This window comes from Homo sapiens, chromosome 13 (genome assembly GCF_000001405.40).
Source record: "Homo sapiens chromosome 13, GRCh38.p14 Primary Assembly".
NCBI lineage: Eukaryota > Metazoa > Chordata > Mammalia > Primates > Hominidae > Homo > Homo sapiens.
This window is the reverse complement of record NC_000013.11, coordinates 81881250-81901725: the sequence shown is the minus strand read 5'-3', so window position 1 is coordinate 81901725 and position 20476 is coordinate 81881250. Positions and strand designations below refer to the sequence as shown.

At 34.7% G+C, this 20476-nt stretch overlaps 1 annotated feature.

Annotated features, from left to right (window-relative positions):
* Window positions 12150-12650: an enhancer, noted in NCBI's record as "H3K4me1 hESC enhancer chr13:82463211-82463711 (GRCh37/hg19 assembly coordinates)". NCBI's record gives its function as "activates a minimal SCP1, AML or CMV promoter by ChIP-STARR-seq in primed H9 embryonic stem cells {active_cell/tissue: H9 hESC(primed)}" and the evidence as "EXISTENCE:reporter gene assay evidence [ECO:0000049][PMID:30033119]".

The following is a 20476-nucleotide window of genomic DNA, read 5'->3' as shown; positions in this document are numbered from 1 at the left end:
AGAGAACATGTACTTAAACAGAATTTTAAACAGTAAAAATACTGTGATGCTATTACTGTTGATTAAGCACATATTTTTTCTGTTTAAAATGGTATAATCTATTTAGTGAACAGTAATACGATATTTTTCAATTGTGACAGGTTTCTACGTTTGTAATTTTTATAACAATTTTATGTTAATCTGTCATCCCATTGATGGTATTGTTTTCCTTCAAGTTATTTCTTCACCTGCTAAAGAAATCTCAACTATCACTTTAGGTTAATTAATAGAAATAATAAGAAGAAGAAAATTAAAGACCCCTGTGAATAGCCAACCATATTTTCAAATTAGAACCTTAATTAAAATGTTATGGACTAGTAATTACAGACTCATTAGTTAAATCCCCCATAGCATTCCATAATTGTTTTTGAAATTATCATTTTTATTTATGTAATTCATATCTCTTTCACATCTGCCCTTTAATGTAAGGGAAAACATAAGATTATCCTTCCATTGAATCATTATTCCACAAAATGTCACATAGAAACCTATTATTTCTTTTCTCATTTATAAACAAAAAACACTTTGAGTAACAGAATCACTTACATTAATTTAAAAATATCAACTAATTATCTGGATAAGATCCTTCAACCAACTAAATCAATGAGTATCAAGATAGTCATCACTGATTGATAAAGAGCTTTATATTAGGACTAGTAAATAAGCACTTAATGTTTGACTGAAAATTGATGTGATCTCCTCTATTAATCTCTTTCTCCCTCTCCTCCACTCTCTTTTCTTCCCCACCTTTCATCTGTTTAATTGGAGCTAAATAGTGATGCTTGCCTTTCAATGAGTTCAACAGGGGCAAGAGTTAAATTGTTTGAGACTATTTGAACACTAGGTGATGTTTCAGATTTACCATCATCCTGTGTAGTCAGTGAACTGTATCTGTTCCAGGTTTTTTTTTAACTCTTAAAACAAATTGACACTTAAACCACAATCAAGGAATTTGAAAAATAATTAATACAAACATGATTTTAGAGTCACTTTAATCACATCACAAATCTATTGTCCTGCAGGAAAACAAGCAAACAACAAAACCTAATCTTGAAATTTGTAGACTTTGAAATTGGGTTTCAACTCTTTAACTTACTGTCTGTTGGGCACTGCCTAAGATAATCTGTTTGAGACATAGTTTATTGCCTTACAATGGAAACTAGTTAACTGGTTAGCTCTTAGTACACCCAATAAGGGGTAGAAAACAGACAATTAAGTTTGGTTTGTGTGGGCAGTGGAGGGAAGAAATTTATGGATCTTGTTTTTTGTTTTTGGTCATATTTATTGGAGCTGCTCTTGAGAGTAGTTGAATGTTGGGCTTCATTAAAATGTTATGGATTAGAGAAGTAGGTTTTAGAATGAATAGACAAGGACAGTATTCAAATTATCAGTGACTATTATTGTCTGTATGGTACAAGTTCTCAGTGTTATATACATCGTATAATTTAATAATAAGCAAAAATAGTTGAGCAACACTGCAGATCAATTAAGAAAGAATTTCCAGAATGAGATCCCAGGATGTACATGTTAACAAAGCTTAAAATAGCCATTATATATGTGCTTCTGGATGAGAACTACTGACAAAGGAAGGAGAGCATATACAAAATAAAAATAACACTACTAATAATAACAAAAAATCAATGGTAATAAAGGCTGAGAATGAAGCCTTTAGAATTTCTGATATTTCATAGTGAAAAAAGTAAGATACAGTGGAGGTAATGAAAATATATGTACAGAAATCCAAGAGGCCAAATAGGAGCAGAAAAAACATAGGTCAAAAGGTGAGAAAGTTCCTAAAAATTAGCAGAATAGAAATATTTCATCTCATGGTTAGCTGTATTCCTAGGTATTTTATTCTTTTTGTGGCTATTGTGAATGGAACTACATTCTTCATTTGGCAATCAGCCTGAATGTTATTGGTATATAGGAATGCTACTAATTTTGTATATATTGCTTTTATACCCCCAAATGTTGTTAAAGTAGTTTATCAGATCAAGGAGCTTTTAGGAAGAGACTATGGAGTTTTCTAGGTATAGAATCATATCGTCTGCAAACAGGGTTAGTGATATGGTTTGGCTCTGTGTCCCCACCCAAATATCATCTTGAATTATACTTCTGTAATTCCCACTGTTGTGGGAGAGATCTGGTGGGAAACAATTAAATCATGAGGGCGGTTTCCCCCATACTGTTTCCATGGTGGTAACTAAGTCTCACAAGATCTGATGGTTTAATCAGGCATTTCTGTTTTCGCATCTTCCTCATTCTCTCTTTGCCTGCTGCCATCCATGTAAGAAGTGGCTTGCTCCTCCTTGCCTTCTGCCATGTTTGTGAGGCTTCCCCAGCCATGTGGAGCTGTAAATCAAATTAAACCTCTTTCTTTTGTAAAGTGCCCATTCTTCGGTATGTCTTTATCAGCAGCGTGAAAACAAAATAGTACAGTTAGTTTGACTTTCTTTCTTCTTATTTAGATGCCTTTTACTTCTTTCTCTTGCCTGATTACTCTGGCTAGGACTTCCAGTACTGTGTTTAATAGTGAATGCTTATACACTGCTGATGGGAATGTAAGTTAGTTCAGTCATTGTGGAAAGCAGTGTGGTGATTTCTCAAAGAACTTAGAACTACCAGTTGTCCTAGCAATTTCATTATTGAGTGTATATCCAAAGGAACATAAATCATTTTACCATAAAGACACATCCACACGGATGTTTATCACAGCAACATTCACAAGAACAAAAACATGGTACCAACCTAAATGCTCATCAATGGTAGACTGGATAAACAAAATGTGGCACATATACACCATGAGATACTATGCAGTCTTAAAAAAAGAATAAGATCATGTCCTTTGCAGCAACATAAATGGAGCTGGAGGCCATTATTCTAAGTGAACTAAACGTGGAACAAACAACCAAATATTGCATGTTCTCACTTATAAGTAGGAGCTTAATATTGAGAACACATGGACACAAAAAAGGAAACAATTGATAGCAGGGACTATTTGAGGGTGAAGGCTGGGAGGAGGGAGAGGCTTGAAAAACTACCGTTGGGTACTATGCCTATTACCTGGATGACAAATAATTAGTACACCAAAACCCTGTAACATGCAATTTACCTATATAACAAACCTGCACATGTAATCTTGAACCTAAAATGAAAGCTAAAAAAATTAGTGAAATAGTCAATACTGTGTTTGTTGAAAATGTTTCACATAAGGACTGAGAGCTCTTGACTGAATTTGTCCACAGGAGGCCATTTATTTAATAGATTCTGAGAGGTAGAGTGACCACAGAAACCTGACTTAAATAGGTGCTAGTGAATAGATGATGTAGCCCTAAGGGCATAGACTGAATGTAACAGCATAGAATGAACAGCATAGACTGTTCCTTCAGGAATGGAAGTGACCTTTGTTTACATATAAAAAATAAGAAGATTTTAATCCATCTTGAGTTAATTTTTGTATACGGTATAAGAAAGGGGTCCAGTTTCAGTCTTCTGCATATGGCTAGCCAATTACCCCAGCACCGTTTATTAAAGAGGGAATCTTTTCCCCATTGTTTGTTTTTGTCAGATTTGTCGAAGATCAGATGGTTTTATGTGTGCAGTCTTATTTCTGAGTTCTCTATTCTGTTCCATTGGTCTATGTGTCTGTTTTTGTACCTGTAACATACTGTTTTGGTTACTGTAGCCCTGAAGCATAGTTTGAAGTCAGCTGGCATGATGCTTCTAGCTTTGTTCTTTTTTGCTTAAGATTGCCTTGGCTATTCGGGCTCTTTTTTGGTTCCATATGAATTTTAAAATAGTTTTCTCTAATTCTGTGAAGAATGTCAGTGGTAGTTTCATAGGAATAGCATTGAATCTATAAATTGCTTTGGGGAGTAGGGCCATTGTAATGATACTGATTCTTTCTATCCATGAGCATGGAATGTTTTTCCATTTGTTTGTGTCATCTCTGATTTCATTGAGCAGTGGTTTGTAGTTCTCCTTGTAGAGATCTTTCACCTCCCTAGTTAGCTGTATCTCTAGGTATTTTATTCTTTTGGTGGCAATTGTGAATGAAAGTTCATTTGCGATTTGGCTCTCAGTTTGCCTGCTGGTATATAGGATTGCAAGTAATTTTTGCACATTGATTTTGTATCCTGATACTGCTGAAGTTGTTTATCAGCTTAAGAAGCTTTTGGGCTGAGACTGTTGGGTTTTCTCGATATAGGATCATGTTGTCTACAAACAGGAATAGCTTGTCTCCCTCTCTTCCTATTTGGATGCCCTATATTTCTTTCTCTTGTCTGATTGTCCCAGCCAGAACTTTCAATACTGTGTTAAATAGGCGTGGTGAGAGAGGGCATCTTTTTCTTGTGCTGGTTTTAAAGAGGAATGCTTCCAGTTTTTGTGCATTCAGTATGAAGTTGGGTGCAGATTTGTCATATATGGCTCATTGTGTTGAGGTATGCTTCTTTAATACCTAGTTTATTGAGTATTTTAAACATGAATGGATGTTGAATTGTATCAAAAGCCTTTTCTGTATCTATTGAGATAATCATGTGGTTTTTGTCTTAGATCTGTTTATGTGATTAATCACATTTACTGATTTGGAACCCAAAACTATAAAAACCCTGGAAGGCAATGCCATTCAGGACAGAGGCACAGCAAAGATCTCATGACAAAGACACCAAAAGCCATCGCAACAAAAGCAAAAATTGACGAACTGTATCTAATTAAACTAAAGAGTTTCTGCACACAAAAAAACTATCAACAGAGTAAACAGAAAACATACAGAATGGGAGAAAATTTTTGCAAACTATGCATCTGACAAAGGTCTAATATCCAGCATCTATCTATAAGAAATTTAAATAGGTTTACAAGAAAAAAAAACAGCTCTATAAAAAAGTGGGCAAAAGACATGAATAGGCACTTTTCAAAAGAAGACATAGATGCAGCACAACATCACTGATCATCAGAGAAATGCAAATGAAAACCACAATGAGATACCCTGTCACACCAGTCAGAATGTCTGGTATTAGAAAGTCAAAAAATAGCAGATGCTGATGAAGTTGTGGAGAAAAAGGAACACTTGTACACCCATTGTTGATGGGAGTGTAAATTAGTTCAGCCACTGTGAAAGATAGTGTGGTGATTCCTCAAAGACCTAAAGACAGAAATATCATTAGACCCAGCAATCCCATTATTTGGTATACATCCAAAGGAATATATTCTATTGTAAAGACACACGTACATGTATGTTCATTGGAGCACTGTTCACAATAACAAACACATGAAATCAATCTAAATGCTTATCAATGATAGACTGGATAAAGAAAATTTGGTACATATACACCATGGAATACTATACAGCCATTAAAAAACTACCTGAATGATGAAATAATTTGTACAACAAACCCCCATGACACAAGTTTATCTATGTAATGAACCGGCACTTGTACCCCTGAACTTGAAACGAAAGTTAAAAAAAGATAGAGTTAAAATTAATTTTAATAATTTACTATATTTTAAACCCAATATATAAATAATTGAAACATGTATCAAATAAAAATATTAGTAAACTATTAAAAAATAAAATAAAAACTTGCTGAAGATGAAAATAAGCTGCAGACTATTATGTCATAGTAGAACTGGTCATACCTATTCCATGAAAAATATGAAGCCAATAACAGTTTTACGTAGAATAATACAAAAATGAGATTTATATTTCATAAGAAATGACTTCTTTATAGAGAATGAATTAAATAAAGCAAGAATCAAGAAATAAAGTAATTTAGAAGATTAATGGAGGCTTGGTGACAGGTTAAGTATGGCTTGATGAATTAGAGGTGAGGCTGAATAGAAATAAAGAATGAAGATAGTGCATATTTTGGATGAAAATCAATATTTTTGGATTTTGTAGAAAGTCTCAGGAATGTAACACACCAAAAATTTTTCTTATTATTACTGTTTTATAAGTGACTATATATGATGGGACCCTTTACTGAGATCAGGAGAGAATTCCCGACATAAAAATTATATAAATATAAAAACCATCTCTTTTCACAATCTTTCAGCTGAACCAAGCAATAGAAGTAAAGAAACTTACAATATATATAAAGTTTCAATCATTCTAGTAAATCTCTTGTTTCCCGTAGGAAAGTGATGGAGGGGACCCTAAAAATACTCACTCAGAGAGTAAGGGATGAAAGTGAGTAAACTTCAGGAGGAGTTCTTGAATCACAACAGTCTCCTCATCTGGGAATATTAATGCATTTGAATCCCAGAATGGTATAGGAGCTTACTTGTTTAGATAACAGAACCAAGGCTAGACAAAAAAACTCTGTTGAAGGGAAAAAAACTTTGCAATAACTTGCTATGACCAGTTACAACTTTTGTAAAGAGAATATAGTTGGATCATATTTTCATATCCATTCTGCCAAGCTTGTCTTTTTTTACGTGTTTAGATCAATTATATTAATTATTGCTATGTTAGTGCTTAAGTTTGAGATTTTATTTGTTTTCTGTGGTTCTCATTCTGCTGTTTCTTTTTTAAAAAAAGTCTTACTTGTATAAATTTAGCAGATATAAGTGCACTTTTGTTACATGGATATATTTCTTAGTGGTGAAGTTTGGGCTTTTACTGTAGCCAACACCCACATACATTGTACCCATTAAGTATTATCTGATCCCTCATTGCTGTCCCACCCTCCTACTCTTCCAACTCTGCAATGCTTATTCTACTTTTCATGTCTATTTGAACACATTATTTAGCTTCAGCTTATGTGAGAACATATGGTATTTGACTTTCTGTTTCTTAGTTACTTCACTTTACATAATCTGTTTATCTTTTATTGCCTTTCTTTTCGTTTATTTCTATATGGAATTTGGATTCCATCTTGATTAATAATAGCATTTTGAGTATATCTCCTTTGCATATATTTTAGTGGTTGCTCTGAGTTTTAGAATATATGCATGTGACATATCAGAGTCTATTGGTAACAATATTTTTTCATTTTGAATGTGTGCATGTGTATGTATGTGTGCGTGTGAAGTGTGGAAACCTTACATCAGTTTAGTTCCCTTTACTTTGGCCACTGGTACATATCATAGCCTTAAAATCAGATGGTGTTATAGTTTTTATTTAAATCACCATATGATTTGTGAAACTCAAGAGGACAGCCTCTTATAAATAATCATTTTTTTCTTTTTCTATTTTATTTCTTCCTTCAATGTTCCAAGTTTGCTGCTTCTACCACTTTCTTTCTGTTAGAAAAATTTCCATTAGCCAGTCTTCAGGCCTACTACCAAGTATTTTACATCTTTGTTTGAGAATACCTGTATTTTTCTTTCTTCCCTAAAGTACAGTGATGTTGGATATACAATTTTCAGTTGACAACACTTTTCCTTAACCATTTGAAAAATATCTTGCCACTTCCTGCTGACCTCCATGGTTTCACATAAGTGCAAACCCAGGAAATTTGAGACAGATCTCAGTTAATTTAGAAAGTTTATTTTGCCAAGGTTGAGGACACGCTTGTGACGGCCTCAGGAGATTCTGAAGACATGTGTCTAAGGTGTTTGGGGCACAGCTTGGTTTTATACATTTTAGGGAGACATGAGACATCAATCAATATATGTAAAAACGATTTTAGTTCCATCCAGAAAGGCTAATACAACTCAAAACAAGGCCCTCCCACTGGAGGCTTCCAGGTCACAGGTAGGTGAGAGACAGATGCTTGCATTCTTCTGAGTTTCTCATAAGTCTTTCCAAAGGAGGCAATCACAATATGCATCTATCTCTGTGAGCAGAGGAACTATGACTTTGAATAGAAAAGGTGGATTTGTCCTGAATGGTTCCCAGCTTGAAGGAGCCCAAGATATATATATTTTTCACATATCTTTTGAAATGATGATTCCCTATAGATAATATGTTCTTTCTCTCAGCCTGCTTTCAAGGTTTTATTGTTGTTTTAGTTTTCTTTAATTTTCTACAGCTTAATTATCATTTTTCCTGGCATATATTTGCTTTACAAATGAAATTTTAAACAGTAATTTAAATAATACAATTTGTGAGTGTGATGAGGTGGGTCTTTTTTTTACAATTACAACAAAAATTAGATACTTAGGAAAATTCTGAGATATGGAACACTTTTTTTGAGAGAGACACACGTAACTTTACTGAAGGACATTAGACAATGTTTAATTTGAGGCATGCAATCCGATAGTAATTTTTCATATCAAATATATTTAAATATTCCTAAATTGTTCTATATATTAGATAACATTTAAATCAAAATAACATAATTTATTCCAAAGCTATAGTAATTAAGACAGCATGACATGACAAAGAAATCAATGATACAGGAAATGAAGCCACTATTGCATGCATTCAGATCATAAACTTGACATATGCCAGAACTAGCACTTTCAATTTCTAGTAAGCATATTGCTGTTTAATAAATATTGTTAGTACTATTGGCTATGCATGAATGACAATAGTTTATGTCACTACCTTACACTAGATCTAATAAAAATCAATTACAAATAAATTAATGGTATAATTGCAAAAAGAAAAAAAAATAACATGTTTGAAAAAAAGTAGGACAATCTACTAAATATGTCAAGGTAGGGTTTTTTAAATCTAAAAATATCCTAAAACATAAAATTTTGACTTAAAATCCCTTTAATTGATAAACTTTTTGTATGTTCATATCAATACCTTTTTTTGTACTTATATCTAGTTATTTAAACCTCAATAAAGTGAAAGAATACAATATTTCAAATATGGAAATTACATATTCAACACATGTAATAAAAGCATTGTTTTCATAATATAAAGTACAAAGATATTAATGGAACAAAAATCAAAGATTCGAACACGAAGAAATGTTTATGGAAATGGCTAATAACTGTGTGAAAAAATTATCAATCAGAATAGCGATCAGGTAGGGGCAAATAATATACCCAGTTATTACCACTTTATACCAGTAGTAGTATTTACTTTTTAATTTTCAATTTTGGTGAGTATATAGTAAGTATATATATTTATGTGAGTATATAGTAAGTATATATATATATAATTAGATGTTTTGACACAGGCACGCAATGTGAAATAAGCACATCATGAAGAATGGGGTATCCATCTGCTCAAACATTTAGCCTTTGAGTTACAAACAATCCAAGTACACCCAAGTTCTTTTAAAATGTACAATTAAGTTATTATTGACTATAGTAACCCTGTTGTGCTATCAAATAGTAGATCTTATTCATTATTTCTATTTTTGTATGCATTAATTATCCCTACTTCCCCTACACCCCTCCCACTGTTTTACCAGCCTCAGTAACCATCCTTCTACTCTCTGTGTCCATGAGTTCAATTGTTTTGATTTTTGGATCCCACAAGTGATAACATGTGATGTTTGCCTTTCTGTAACTGGCTTAATTCACTTTAAAGAATGATCTCCAATTTTGATCTCATTTTTTCAAATGGCTGAATAGTACTCCATTGTGTATATGCATCACATTTTCTTTATCCATTCACCTGCTGATGGACACTTAAGTTGCTTCCAAATATTAACTATTATAAACAGTGCTGCATCAAACATAGGATTGCAGATATCTCTTTGATATACTGATTTCCTAGATTCATAGTTTCAGGTCTCAGATTTAAGTTTTTAAATCATTTTGATCTGATGTTTGTGTATGGCAAGAGATGGGGGTCTAATTTTATTCTGCATATGAATTTCCAGTTTTCTCAGAACCATACTGATTTCATTTCTTTGGGACTGGAATTGCTGGGTCATATGGTAACTCTATTTGTAGTTCTTTGAGGAACCTCCAAACTGTTCTCCATAGTGATTGTACTAATTTCCACCAACAGTTCATGAGGGTTCCCTTTTGTCCACATCCTTGCCAGCATTTATTTCCTGTGCTGTGGAAATAAGCCATTTTAACTGGGATGAGATAATAACTCATTGTAGTTTTCATTTGTGTTTCTCTGATGACCAATGATATTGAGTACCTTTCCATATCCCTGTTTGCCTTTTTTATGTCTTCCTTTGAGGAATAATTATTCAAATCTTTCACCCATTTTTTGATCAGATTATCAGATTTTCTCCTACAGGGTTGTTTGAGCTCCATATAAATTCTGATTATTAATTCCTTGTCAGATGGGTAATTTACAAATATTTTCTACCATTCTGTGGGTTGTTTCTTCACTTTGTTGATTGTATCCTTTGCTGTGGAGAAGGTTTTTAACTTGATGTGATCCCATTTGTCCATTGTTGCTTTGGTTGCTAGTGTATTGCTCAAGAAACTTTTGCCCAGACCAATATCTTGAAGATCTTCCCCAAAGTTTTTTTTTGTAGTAGTTTCATAGTTTGAGGTCTTACATTTAAGGCTTAGATTTGATTTTTGTATACAATGAGAAATAAAGGTCTAGTTTCTAGTTTCATTATTCTGCATATGGATATCTAGTTTTCCCAGCATCATTTACTGAAGATACTGTCTTTTCCCTACTGTATGTTCCTGGGACCTTTATAAAAAATGAGCTCACTGTAGGTGTGTGGATTTCTTTCAGGTTGCTCAGTTCCATTCCATTAGTCTACATGTCTGTTTCTATGCCAGTACCATGCTGCTTTGGTTACTATAGCTCTGCAGAATAATTTGAAGTCAGTAATGTGATTCTTTCACTTTTGCTCTTTTTGCTTAGGGTGACTTTGACTATTACAGGTCTTTATAATAGTCGCATAAACTTTAGAATTTATATGGGGTTTATATCGGTTTCATATAAATTATAGGATTGTGTTTTCTATTTCTGTGAAGAATGTCACTCGTATTTTTACAGGGATTGCATTGACTCTGTAGATTGCTTTTAGTAGTATGGACATTTTAGCAATACTGATTCTTCTGATCCATAAACATGGAATATTTTTCCATTTTTGGTGTCCTCTTTAATTTCTTTCATCACCGTTTTATAGTTGTCATTATAGGGATCTTTCCCTTCTTTGGTTAAGTTAATTTTGTCACAGGATCCTTAGGATGTCACTTCACCAGCTAGGAACCTCTGTGGCTGGCATCGCCTCTGCTTGGGTTTTGCTCATGCCCACCGGGCTCATTCTGCCCACTTGGCCCAGCAGGCTGCATTCAGCTTGCACCACTCATCTGGATCCCGCACCTGAAAAGGGCAAACCAGGCACAGAATGGCAAGGGGTGTATGCGCAAGTGAGTGCAGGGTCCAGCCACTGCACACAGCCAGGTGTGCCAGCTGAGGAAGGGTGGGCAGCTCCAGGAACTGGCACAGGCACCAGCTCTGTGTGAGGCTGCAGTTGAATGAGGTGTACCAAAAGTGGCTTCCGCCATGGGCACGAGGAAACATGATGGCACCTGAAAGCTCAGAGACACCAGGAACCACAGAGTCCAAAGAGGGTTTTACCATGTGTTACAGCCCAGGCTTTAGGAGCCCCAAGGTCTGGGCCTCCAGAAAGCCTGGAACTCTTCTCTCCTTTCAACTGCCTGAATTGTGACAAGCGGGGTGTGGGGGTGTTTCAGTGGAGCATGTTTTAGCCCATTTGTGTTACAGCTTTTTCAGTCCTGCTGTCCTGTTCTGACCCATGACTCCTGGGCTGGCCCAGCCCTGCCACTACTTCCCATTATGTAGGGCAGCCACCCAGTGCCAGCAGAGGGCAAGAGGGTTATAGTGTTACAGTAGATCTGGCCTGGGGAACCCTGAGGTCTGGGCCCCCAGAAGTGTCACCGCTATTCACTCCCACAGTCTGGAAGTGTGTCACTGACTGAAGCTTGGTGAGCCAGCCAGAAACTTGTTACAGCTCCTGCCGTTCATGAGTTCCTAAGTTCTTGTCCAATGTGCAGGAAGAATGAGGTTACAAGGGAAAACTAGGGGATGAGCAAAGCAGAGAGGAGCTTTTTTGAGCAACAGAACAGCTCTCAGGAGACCCAAAATGAGTAGCTCCTTTCTGCAGGCAAGTTTTCCCAGAGAGTGTCTGAGTATGGTTAAGTCTGGGTTTTTTATGTGCTCAGAATGGAGGAAGTTCATGCTAAATGGCCCATGAGCAGCTATGAGCAGGCCTGGAAAAAGCACCATTGGCTGAAAGACATCAATGAATTTCTTACTCTGGGTTACAGACTCTCCCCAGATCTGGCAGCCTGGCCCAAAGGTTTCAGTCCATCCTGGCTTGAAGGTGGGGTTTCACCAGAGACCAACCTCTTACTTCCTATGAACCTGTCTCCCTTCCGCTGACATCAACATGTCATCCACAGTGCCCAGGCTGTCCATGACGAGGGGCACTCAGAGGCCTGTGCTGAGCTGCTCTCAGCTCCCCCGCCTCTGTCCCATGCTCATCACTGCCCAATGTCTGGTGTGGCCAAGGGGGCCAAGGTGAGAGTGGGCTGTCATGTCAGAAGTGCCCTGAGTGCGTGCACACCCAGCTGGGTCTCAATAGTATCCAGGCTCAATCACAACTTGCTCCACACCAGAGCAGGTGCCTGTAGGAGGAAGAGGCCAGACAGTGGGAGCAGGCACTTCTGAGCCTATGGGAGCAGGCAGCTTCCTGGGCCTCTAGGGATGGCCTGGGTCTGGGCCTGCAGCTGGGCAGCTGCAGCCGTGCCCAAGAATCTGGGCTCCTGCCCTGCAGGGCTCCCACTGGGATCACCTGTTTCTTGCCCCTGCCAGCTCTTCGGAGTGTGTAGCCCAGGCTTTGCCTCCCCTGCTGCAGCTGGTGTCTTTGCAGCAGCTGCTCCAGATGGGCTTCTGCCACCTTCAATCTCTAGATATTTAATTTTATATGTGTCCATTGTAAATGTAATTACTTTTTAAATTTATTTTTCACATTGTTCACTGTTGACATGTAGAAATGCTACTGATTATTATATGTTAATTTTGTATCTTGCAACCTTACTGAATTTATCAGTTCTAATAGTTTTTATGGTGGAGGCTTTTAGTTTTTCCACATATCAGCTCATATAATCTGCAAACAAGGATAATCTTACTTCTTTCTTTCCAATTTGTATGGCCTTTATTTTCTTCTCTTGTCTCATTGCTCTAGCTAGGACTTCCAGTCCTATGTTGAAAACAGTGGCGACAGTAAACATCCTGGTTGCATTCCAGATTGTAGAGAAAAGGCTTTCTGTTTCTCCCCATTCAGTATGATACTAGCTGTGGGTCTGTCATATATGCTTTTGTTATGTTGAGGCATGTTCCTTCTATCCCCAGATCTTTGAGGGTTTTTATTATGAAACAATGTTGAATTTTATCAAGTGATTTTCCAGCATCAGTTGAAATGATCATATGATTTTATTCTTCATTCTGTTGATATGATGTACCACACTGATTGGTTTGCATATACTGAACCATCCTTGCATTCCAGGGATAAATTCCACTTACTTGGTCACAATTTCTAATGTATTGTTTGCTAGCATTTTGTTGAGAATTTTTACATAAATATTCATGATAAATATTGGCCTGTCATTTTATTTCTTTATGTGTCTTTGTGTGGTTTTGGCATCAGGGTAACCCTGGCCTCAGAATGAATTTATAAGTATTCCCTTCTCTGTTTTTGGAACACTTTGAGTAGAATTGATACTAGTGCTTCTTTCAGTGTTTTGTAGAATTCATCAGTGAAACCATCAAGTCCCAAGCTTTTCTTTACTGGAAGAATTTTTATTACAGCTTTGATGTTCTTATTTGTTACTAGTTGGTTCAGATTTTTAATTTCTTCCTCGCTCAATATTGGTATGTTGCATGTGTCTAGAAATTTGTACATTTTTTCTGGATTTTCTAGTTTATTGGCATATAGTTGCTCACAGTAGCCAGTAATGATCCTTTGAATTTCTGCAGTATCATTTGTAATGTCTCCTTTTTCATTTCTGATTTTATTTATTTGGATCTTCTCTTTTTCTTAGTCTGCCTAAAATTTTGTCAATTTCATTTACCTTTTCAATAAATAACTTTTTGTTTCATTGATTTTTATGTTGTTTTTTTCATTTCAAATGTATTTATTTCGCTGTAATGTTTTTTCTTTCTTTTCATCTACTAACAGTGACTTTTGTTTGCTCTTGCTTTTCTAGTTCTCTAAGATGCATCATTAAATTGTTTATTTGACATTTGCCTCTTTTTCGATGTAAGCACTTATAGCTATTAACTTCCCTATGAATACTGCTTTTGTTGTATCCCATAGGTTTTAGTGTGTTCTCTTTCCATTATATTTTGTTTCAGTAAATTTTTCCATTTCCTTCTCAAGTTCTACATTGACCCACTGGTCATTCAGGAGTATATTGTTTAATATCCATGTATTTGTATAGTTTTCAAAATTCCTTTTGTTATAAATTTCTAGTTTAATTCCATTGTGTTCAGAAAAGATGATTAATATTACTTTATTTTTCTGAATATTTTAAGACTTGTTTTGTGATTTAGCATATGATCTCTCCTTGAGAATGATCCACCTTCTGAGGAGAAGAATGTGTATTCTACAGCCTTTGGATGAAATGTTCTGTAAATATCTACTTGATTCATTTAGTCTATGGTGCAGCTTAAGTCAGATATTTCTTTGTTGATTTTCTGTCTGAAAGGTCTGTCCAATGATGAAAGTGGGTTGTTGATGTATCCAGGTATTATTATATTGGGGCCTATTATCTGTCATTAGCTCTAATAATATTTGCATCATATATCTTGCTGCTCCACTGTTGGGTGGATATATATTTAAAATTCTTATAGTGTGTTGCTAAATTGTACCCTTTATCATTATACAGTAACCCTTTATCATTACATAGTAACCTTCTTTTTCTCTTCTTATAGTTTTGTTCTTGGAATCTTTTTCTAATATAAATATAGCAAATCCTAATCTTTTTTATATCCATGGGCATGGAATATATTTTTGCATCCCTTTATTTTCAATATATATGTGACTTTATAGATGAAGTGTATTTCTTGTAAGCAAAAGATCAATGCATCTTAGCTTTTTATCCATTCAGCCACTCTGTCTTTTGATTGGAGAATTTAGTCCATTTATGTTCAATGTTATTATTGACATGTAAGGACTCATTTCTGCCATTTTGTTATTTGTCTTCTGGTTATTTTGTGATCTTCTCTTCTATCTTTTCTTCCTGTCTTCCTTTAGTGAAGGTGATTTTCTCTGGTGTTATAATTCAATTTCTTGCTTTATATTTTTTTGTCTCTGTTGTATGTTTTTTGGTTTAAGGTTACTATGTGGTTCACAAATCTTATCTTATGACCTGTTATTTTAACCTGGTAACAACTTAACACTGTTTGCATAAACAAACTGTCAAACGAGCAAAAAGAAAACTAATAAAAGCTATACTGCTTAACTTTGTCCCCAAGCTTTGTAATTTTTTTGTTTCTATTTATGTCTTATTGTATTGATTATGTATTGAAGAGTTGTTGTAATTGTTTTTGAATGGTTCATTGTTTAGTTTTTCTACTTAGAATAAGAGTAGTTTACATACCATACTTACAGTATTATATTATTCTGTATTTTTCTGTGTACTAATTATTACCAGTGAGTTTTTTTTATCTTCAGGGGATTACTTATTGCTCATTAATATCATTTTATTTCAGATTGAAGTACTCTATTTATTGTTTATTGTGAGACAGGTCTGGTGTTGATGAAATCCCTCAGCTTTTGTTTATCTGGGAGTCTTTATTTCTCCTTTATATTTAAAGAATATTTTTACTGGATATACTTTTCTAGGGTAAAAGTTGTTTCTTTTTTTTTTTTTAGCACGTCATGCCACTCTCTCCTAAACCAATAAAGTTTCCACTGAAACATCTGCAGCCAGACATATTGGTGCTCCATTGCATGTAATTTGTTTCTTTTCTCTTGCTATTTTTAGAATCCTTTCTTTTCCCTTGACCTTTGGGAGTTTGATTATTAGATACCTTAAGGCAGTGCTATGGTTTGGATCTGTGCTCCCATTCAAAATCTCTCTCAAATGGTAATATTCATAATCTCCACATGTGAAGGGTGAACCAGATGGAGGCAATTGGATCATGGGGGTAGTTTCCCTCATGCTGTTCTCATGATAGTGAGTGACTTCTCATGAGATATGATGATTTTATAAGCATCTGGCATTTTCCCTACTTGCACTAGCTCTGTCCTGCCACCCTGTGAAGAAGGTGTCTGCTTCTTCTTTGCCTTCTGCCATGATTGTAAGTTTCCTGAGATCTCCCTGGTAGTGCAGAGATGTGAGTGAATTGCACATCTTTCCTTAATAAATTACCCAGGCTTGGGTATTTCTTCATAGCAATGTGAAAAGTGACTAATATGGTAAATTGGTACTGCAGAGGGTGGGGTGCTGCTATAAAGATACTCAAAAATGTGGAAGCAACTTTGGAACTGGGTAATAGGCAGAGGTTGGAACAGTTTGGAGGGCTCAGAAAAAAATAGAAAGACGTGGGAAAGTTTGGAACTTCTTAGTGACTTGTTGAATGATTTTGACCAAAATGCTGATAGTGATATGGACAATAAAGTCCAGGCTGAGGTGATCTCAGATGGAGATGAGGAACTTGTTGGGAACTAAAATAAAGGTAATTCTTGCTATGCTTAACAAAGAGACTAGCAGCATTTTTGTCTCTGCCCCAGAGATCTGTGGAACTTTGAACTTGAGAGAGATGTTTTAGGATGTCTTGCAGAAGAAATTTCTAAGCAGCAAAGCATTCAAAAGGTGATTGAGTGCTCTTAAGAGTATTCAGTGGTATGTATTCACAAAGATATGGTCTGAAATTGGAACTTATGTTTAAAAAGAAAGCAGAGCATAAAAGTTTTGGAAATTTGCAGACTGATGATGCAATAGAAAAAAAAAACATCTTCCAGGGAGAAATTTAAGCCAGCTACCAAAATTTGCATAAGTAATGAGGAGCTGTAGAAGAAAGAGTTTTGTAGGAAAAAGTGAAAAGTTCAGTTTTGGCATATTTACTTTAACATGTTTATTAAGAATGGAACTTAGAGGTGTCAGGCAAGCATTAGCATATTTTCTGTTGTTTTTTAAATTAACAGAATTTATTTTTTGAAGCAATTTTAAGTTAACAAAATACTTAACAGGAACTAGATGTATTTTCTCCTAAGTACATAATTTATCAGTGTTCATTATGGTTAATATTTCCACAATTATTTATTTCATGTGGAAGTAGTAAATAAATCACTCACAAAGATGGTTTTGTTAAATAAAAACCTATAAACCAAGTAAATTTGCATAATATTTAATCTGTAGCAAAACGAATTGCTAAGAATCAGGATTTAAGTTCAAATAAATTACATACTGTGTTAAATATTACAATTAAAGACTCACTCATAAAATGATTCATTGGCTAAATAGCATACATTTTGAGTAAGATATCACTTGACATTATAACTTGTATATTACTAATTTCAAAATCTCACTTTTTTATAAGTGAGCTAAAAGGATTATGATACATCTCAAGCATTTCTTATTTTAACAAAAATTGTCAAATTAGGATAATATGGAAGTGAGTTAATTTTTTGCAGTTTTAATGAACTCATACATTAATTCATTGTGCCAATCGTAATATTTTGATAGTGTACCTATTTTGAGATTTTTTTCATAACTTTACACTCAGTGTTTGACATTTCTTAAAAATTGTGTGATGTAAAATGTAAATATCATCATCAAGAAATACTTATTTTCACCTATATTTTCTACACACTCAACTAAAAATCATTGGGAATATGAAGGCTTTTTGTAAAATTAACACAGAACTTCGATCATAGGAAATCTGGTGTAATGTAAAATGTGAATATGATATTAATTATCAAAACAGATTTTCAATTTTTATTTTCTCACAAGCTTGTTTATAAAAATATATAAATTGATGTGTGTGTGCTTTGTTTTATTTCTTTTTTTACATGCAAATAGAATCATTGGCTCAGATAATCCTCTTCTTTTTTATAACATTTTCATCTATTAACATTAATAGAAACCTTCCTTTAGTAAACTCCTGAAAGCCTCTGATATTTTCATACCGAAAAAGGAATGTTTCACCCTTTCTTTGTGTGGATGTATGTATTCACTAATTGGAAGAACTGAAAGGATTGAACAAATAGGCAAAACTAGATCCTCTTAATTAAGTGCAGTTACTGTTTGTCAACCTAGGCCTGAAGCTATGTGATCAAACAGACTAAATTATAATCCACACATTCTGCTTTGTTTCAGTTTATAATCCCTGTGCTGTTTGTTATCTTACATTGTACACATAAGAATGTAAAAGAATATATAGCGACAATTTTTACTTACTCTTTTTAATATTAAAAAATAGCAGCAGAAAAGGTCAATTACTCAGGAGCTGGAATTGGAATTTCTTTTTTAATTGGAATGCATTCCCTCTCCAAAGAAAAACAATATCCGATTTCTGTTAGCAAGAAAAAAGAACAGAATAAATATCAAATGGCAAGTATGTGTCCACCTATGTTCCAAATCCTAGATTACAACCCCAAATACTAATTTGCATAAAAATTAGAACTCTTGAAATTCCTAGTAACTTTGCTAGTGGCCTACCGTGATGAATTTTATAACAGATTTCACTTTTTTTGTTTTCACTATAATTTTTCCTGCAATATCTTTATGAAGTCTTAGAATCAATACTGGAAAAAGTCTACTCCTCATGTTTTGTTGGGATTGATATAAAATCCATATGATTTTGCTTTGGATTTTTATCTATGCTTATTTATGTCTCCACTGTGCATTTTCAATTCTAGCTTATTTTCTTACCCTATACCCTCATCAATACCATCAATATTTATTTTGATTGTTTTATTTCATAAAATTGTATTCATTTCTGTATATTATTTTACAATTTTTCTGGAAAAGGGCAGAAATAAGTACATACACAATATGGGTAGATATAAATTTGTGTTTTTAAATAACATATGCACTACTATCTAATTGGACTATATTTAATAAAGATAATCTAATATATCATAATACAGTAAAATAATTTTTTTATTTTGTATATAGAAAATATGTATCTTTAATTATTTGCTTATGCTCCATAGACTAACATTGAGGAACTATAGATTGAGTGGAAACCTGATAACACAAAGATTATTTTATAATTTTTTTCCCCCCGAGACGGAGTTTCACGCTTGTTGCCCAGGCTGGAGTACAATGATGTGATCTCGGCTCACTGCAACCTCCGCCTCCAGGGATCAGGCAATTCTCCTGCCTCAGCCTCCCGAGTAGCTCAGATTACAGGTGTGCCCCACCACGCCTGGCTAATTTTTGCATTTTTTTTTTTTAGTAGACATGGGATTTCACCATGTTGGTCAGGCTGGTCTCTAACTCCTGACCTCAGGTGATCCGCCTGCCTCAGCCTCCCAAAGTGCTGGGATTACAGGCGTGAGCCACCATGCCCAGCCTATTTTATAAATTTGATGTAACATCTAAGGACACCTGATGGCTGTTATCTATTTATGAGGTGAATAATAACGCTAGCTATTTTTTAATAATTTTTGAAATGCTAAAATGAATTATTATTTCAAGTACAAAACAATGAAGTTAAGTAAAGTTATCATTGTCTAATATATTAATTCATTTTCAAGTTTGTCTAGAAAATGTTTATTTTGTGAAACATAATTATAACTTTACTTATTATCTAAACATATTATGTATTATACCTCATTTTACAGGTTATGTGACTCAGACCATATTTAAGGCTAGCCAGAGACAAAAATTAGTCTCCCTGTGTGTATTAAACACATACTGTCAGACTTTGCAGCTGAATCATACATATCATATAAGATTTAGAATTTTCTAATACCTTGGTTGTGTCATTTCCTTTGAACAATATTTCTGATGGTCCGTATTGATATCGAGTTGCATATTAAAATCTATAGCCCAGAATGCAAATCCATAATTGTCTTGGTTATAGATGTCTTAGATGAAAGCATAAAGTGGACAAAAGTTATTAAAGTATTACAGATTTTAATCCCAAAGATGAAACCCTTAACTTAGCTGAAATGGAAAAGAGAAGTATATGGCAAGGAAAGATATTAAGCGTTGTGATGAGATACATTTCAGTGTTGGCATACACTTGGAAACTAGCCATGGAAAGAATGCAAGTGTGTTTGGCTGTCATGTGGGAGTTTTATAAAATGATTGAAAAAAGAAAATGCATCTTGAACCTGTCTATGAAAGAGATAAAGCCAGGAGGGTGTCACTGTGAAGTTCCCTCTCTTCCTATTTCCTAATTTTGACTGTCCCTTGACAGCTACTCAGGACACCAGATGCCATTTATCTTGAGCACAACTTAAGACAAAGGTTCAATTGCAAGTGGCTTATGTTGAAGGTTTGAGACCCAGTAGAGAAGTGTAAAGTCAGATAGAGAAGTGAAATCAGCTGATAAAGAGTATGTTGTCATAAGCCACCATTAAGCAGGACTTGATTTTTTTAATCCTTGACAGAATTTGGA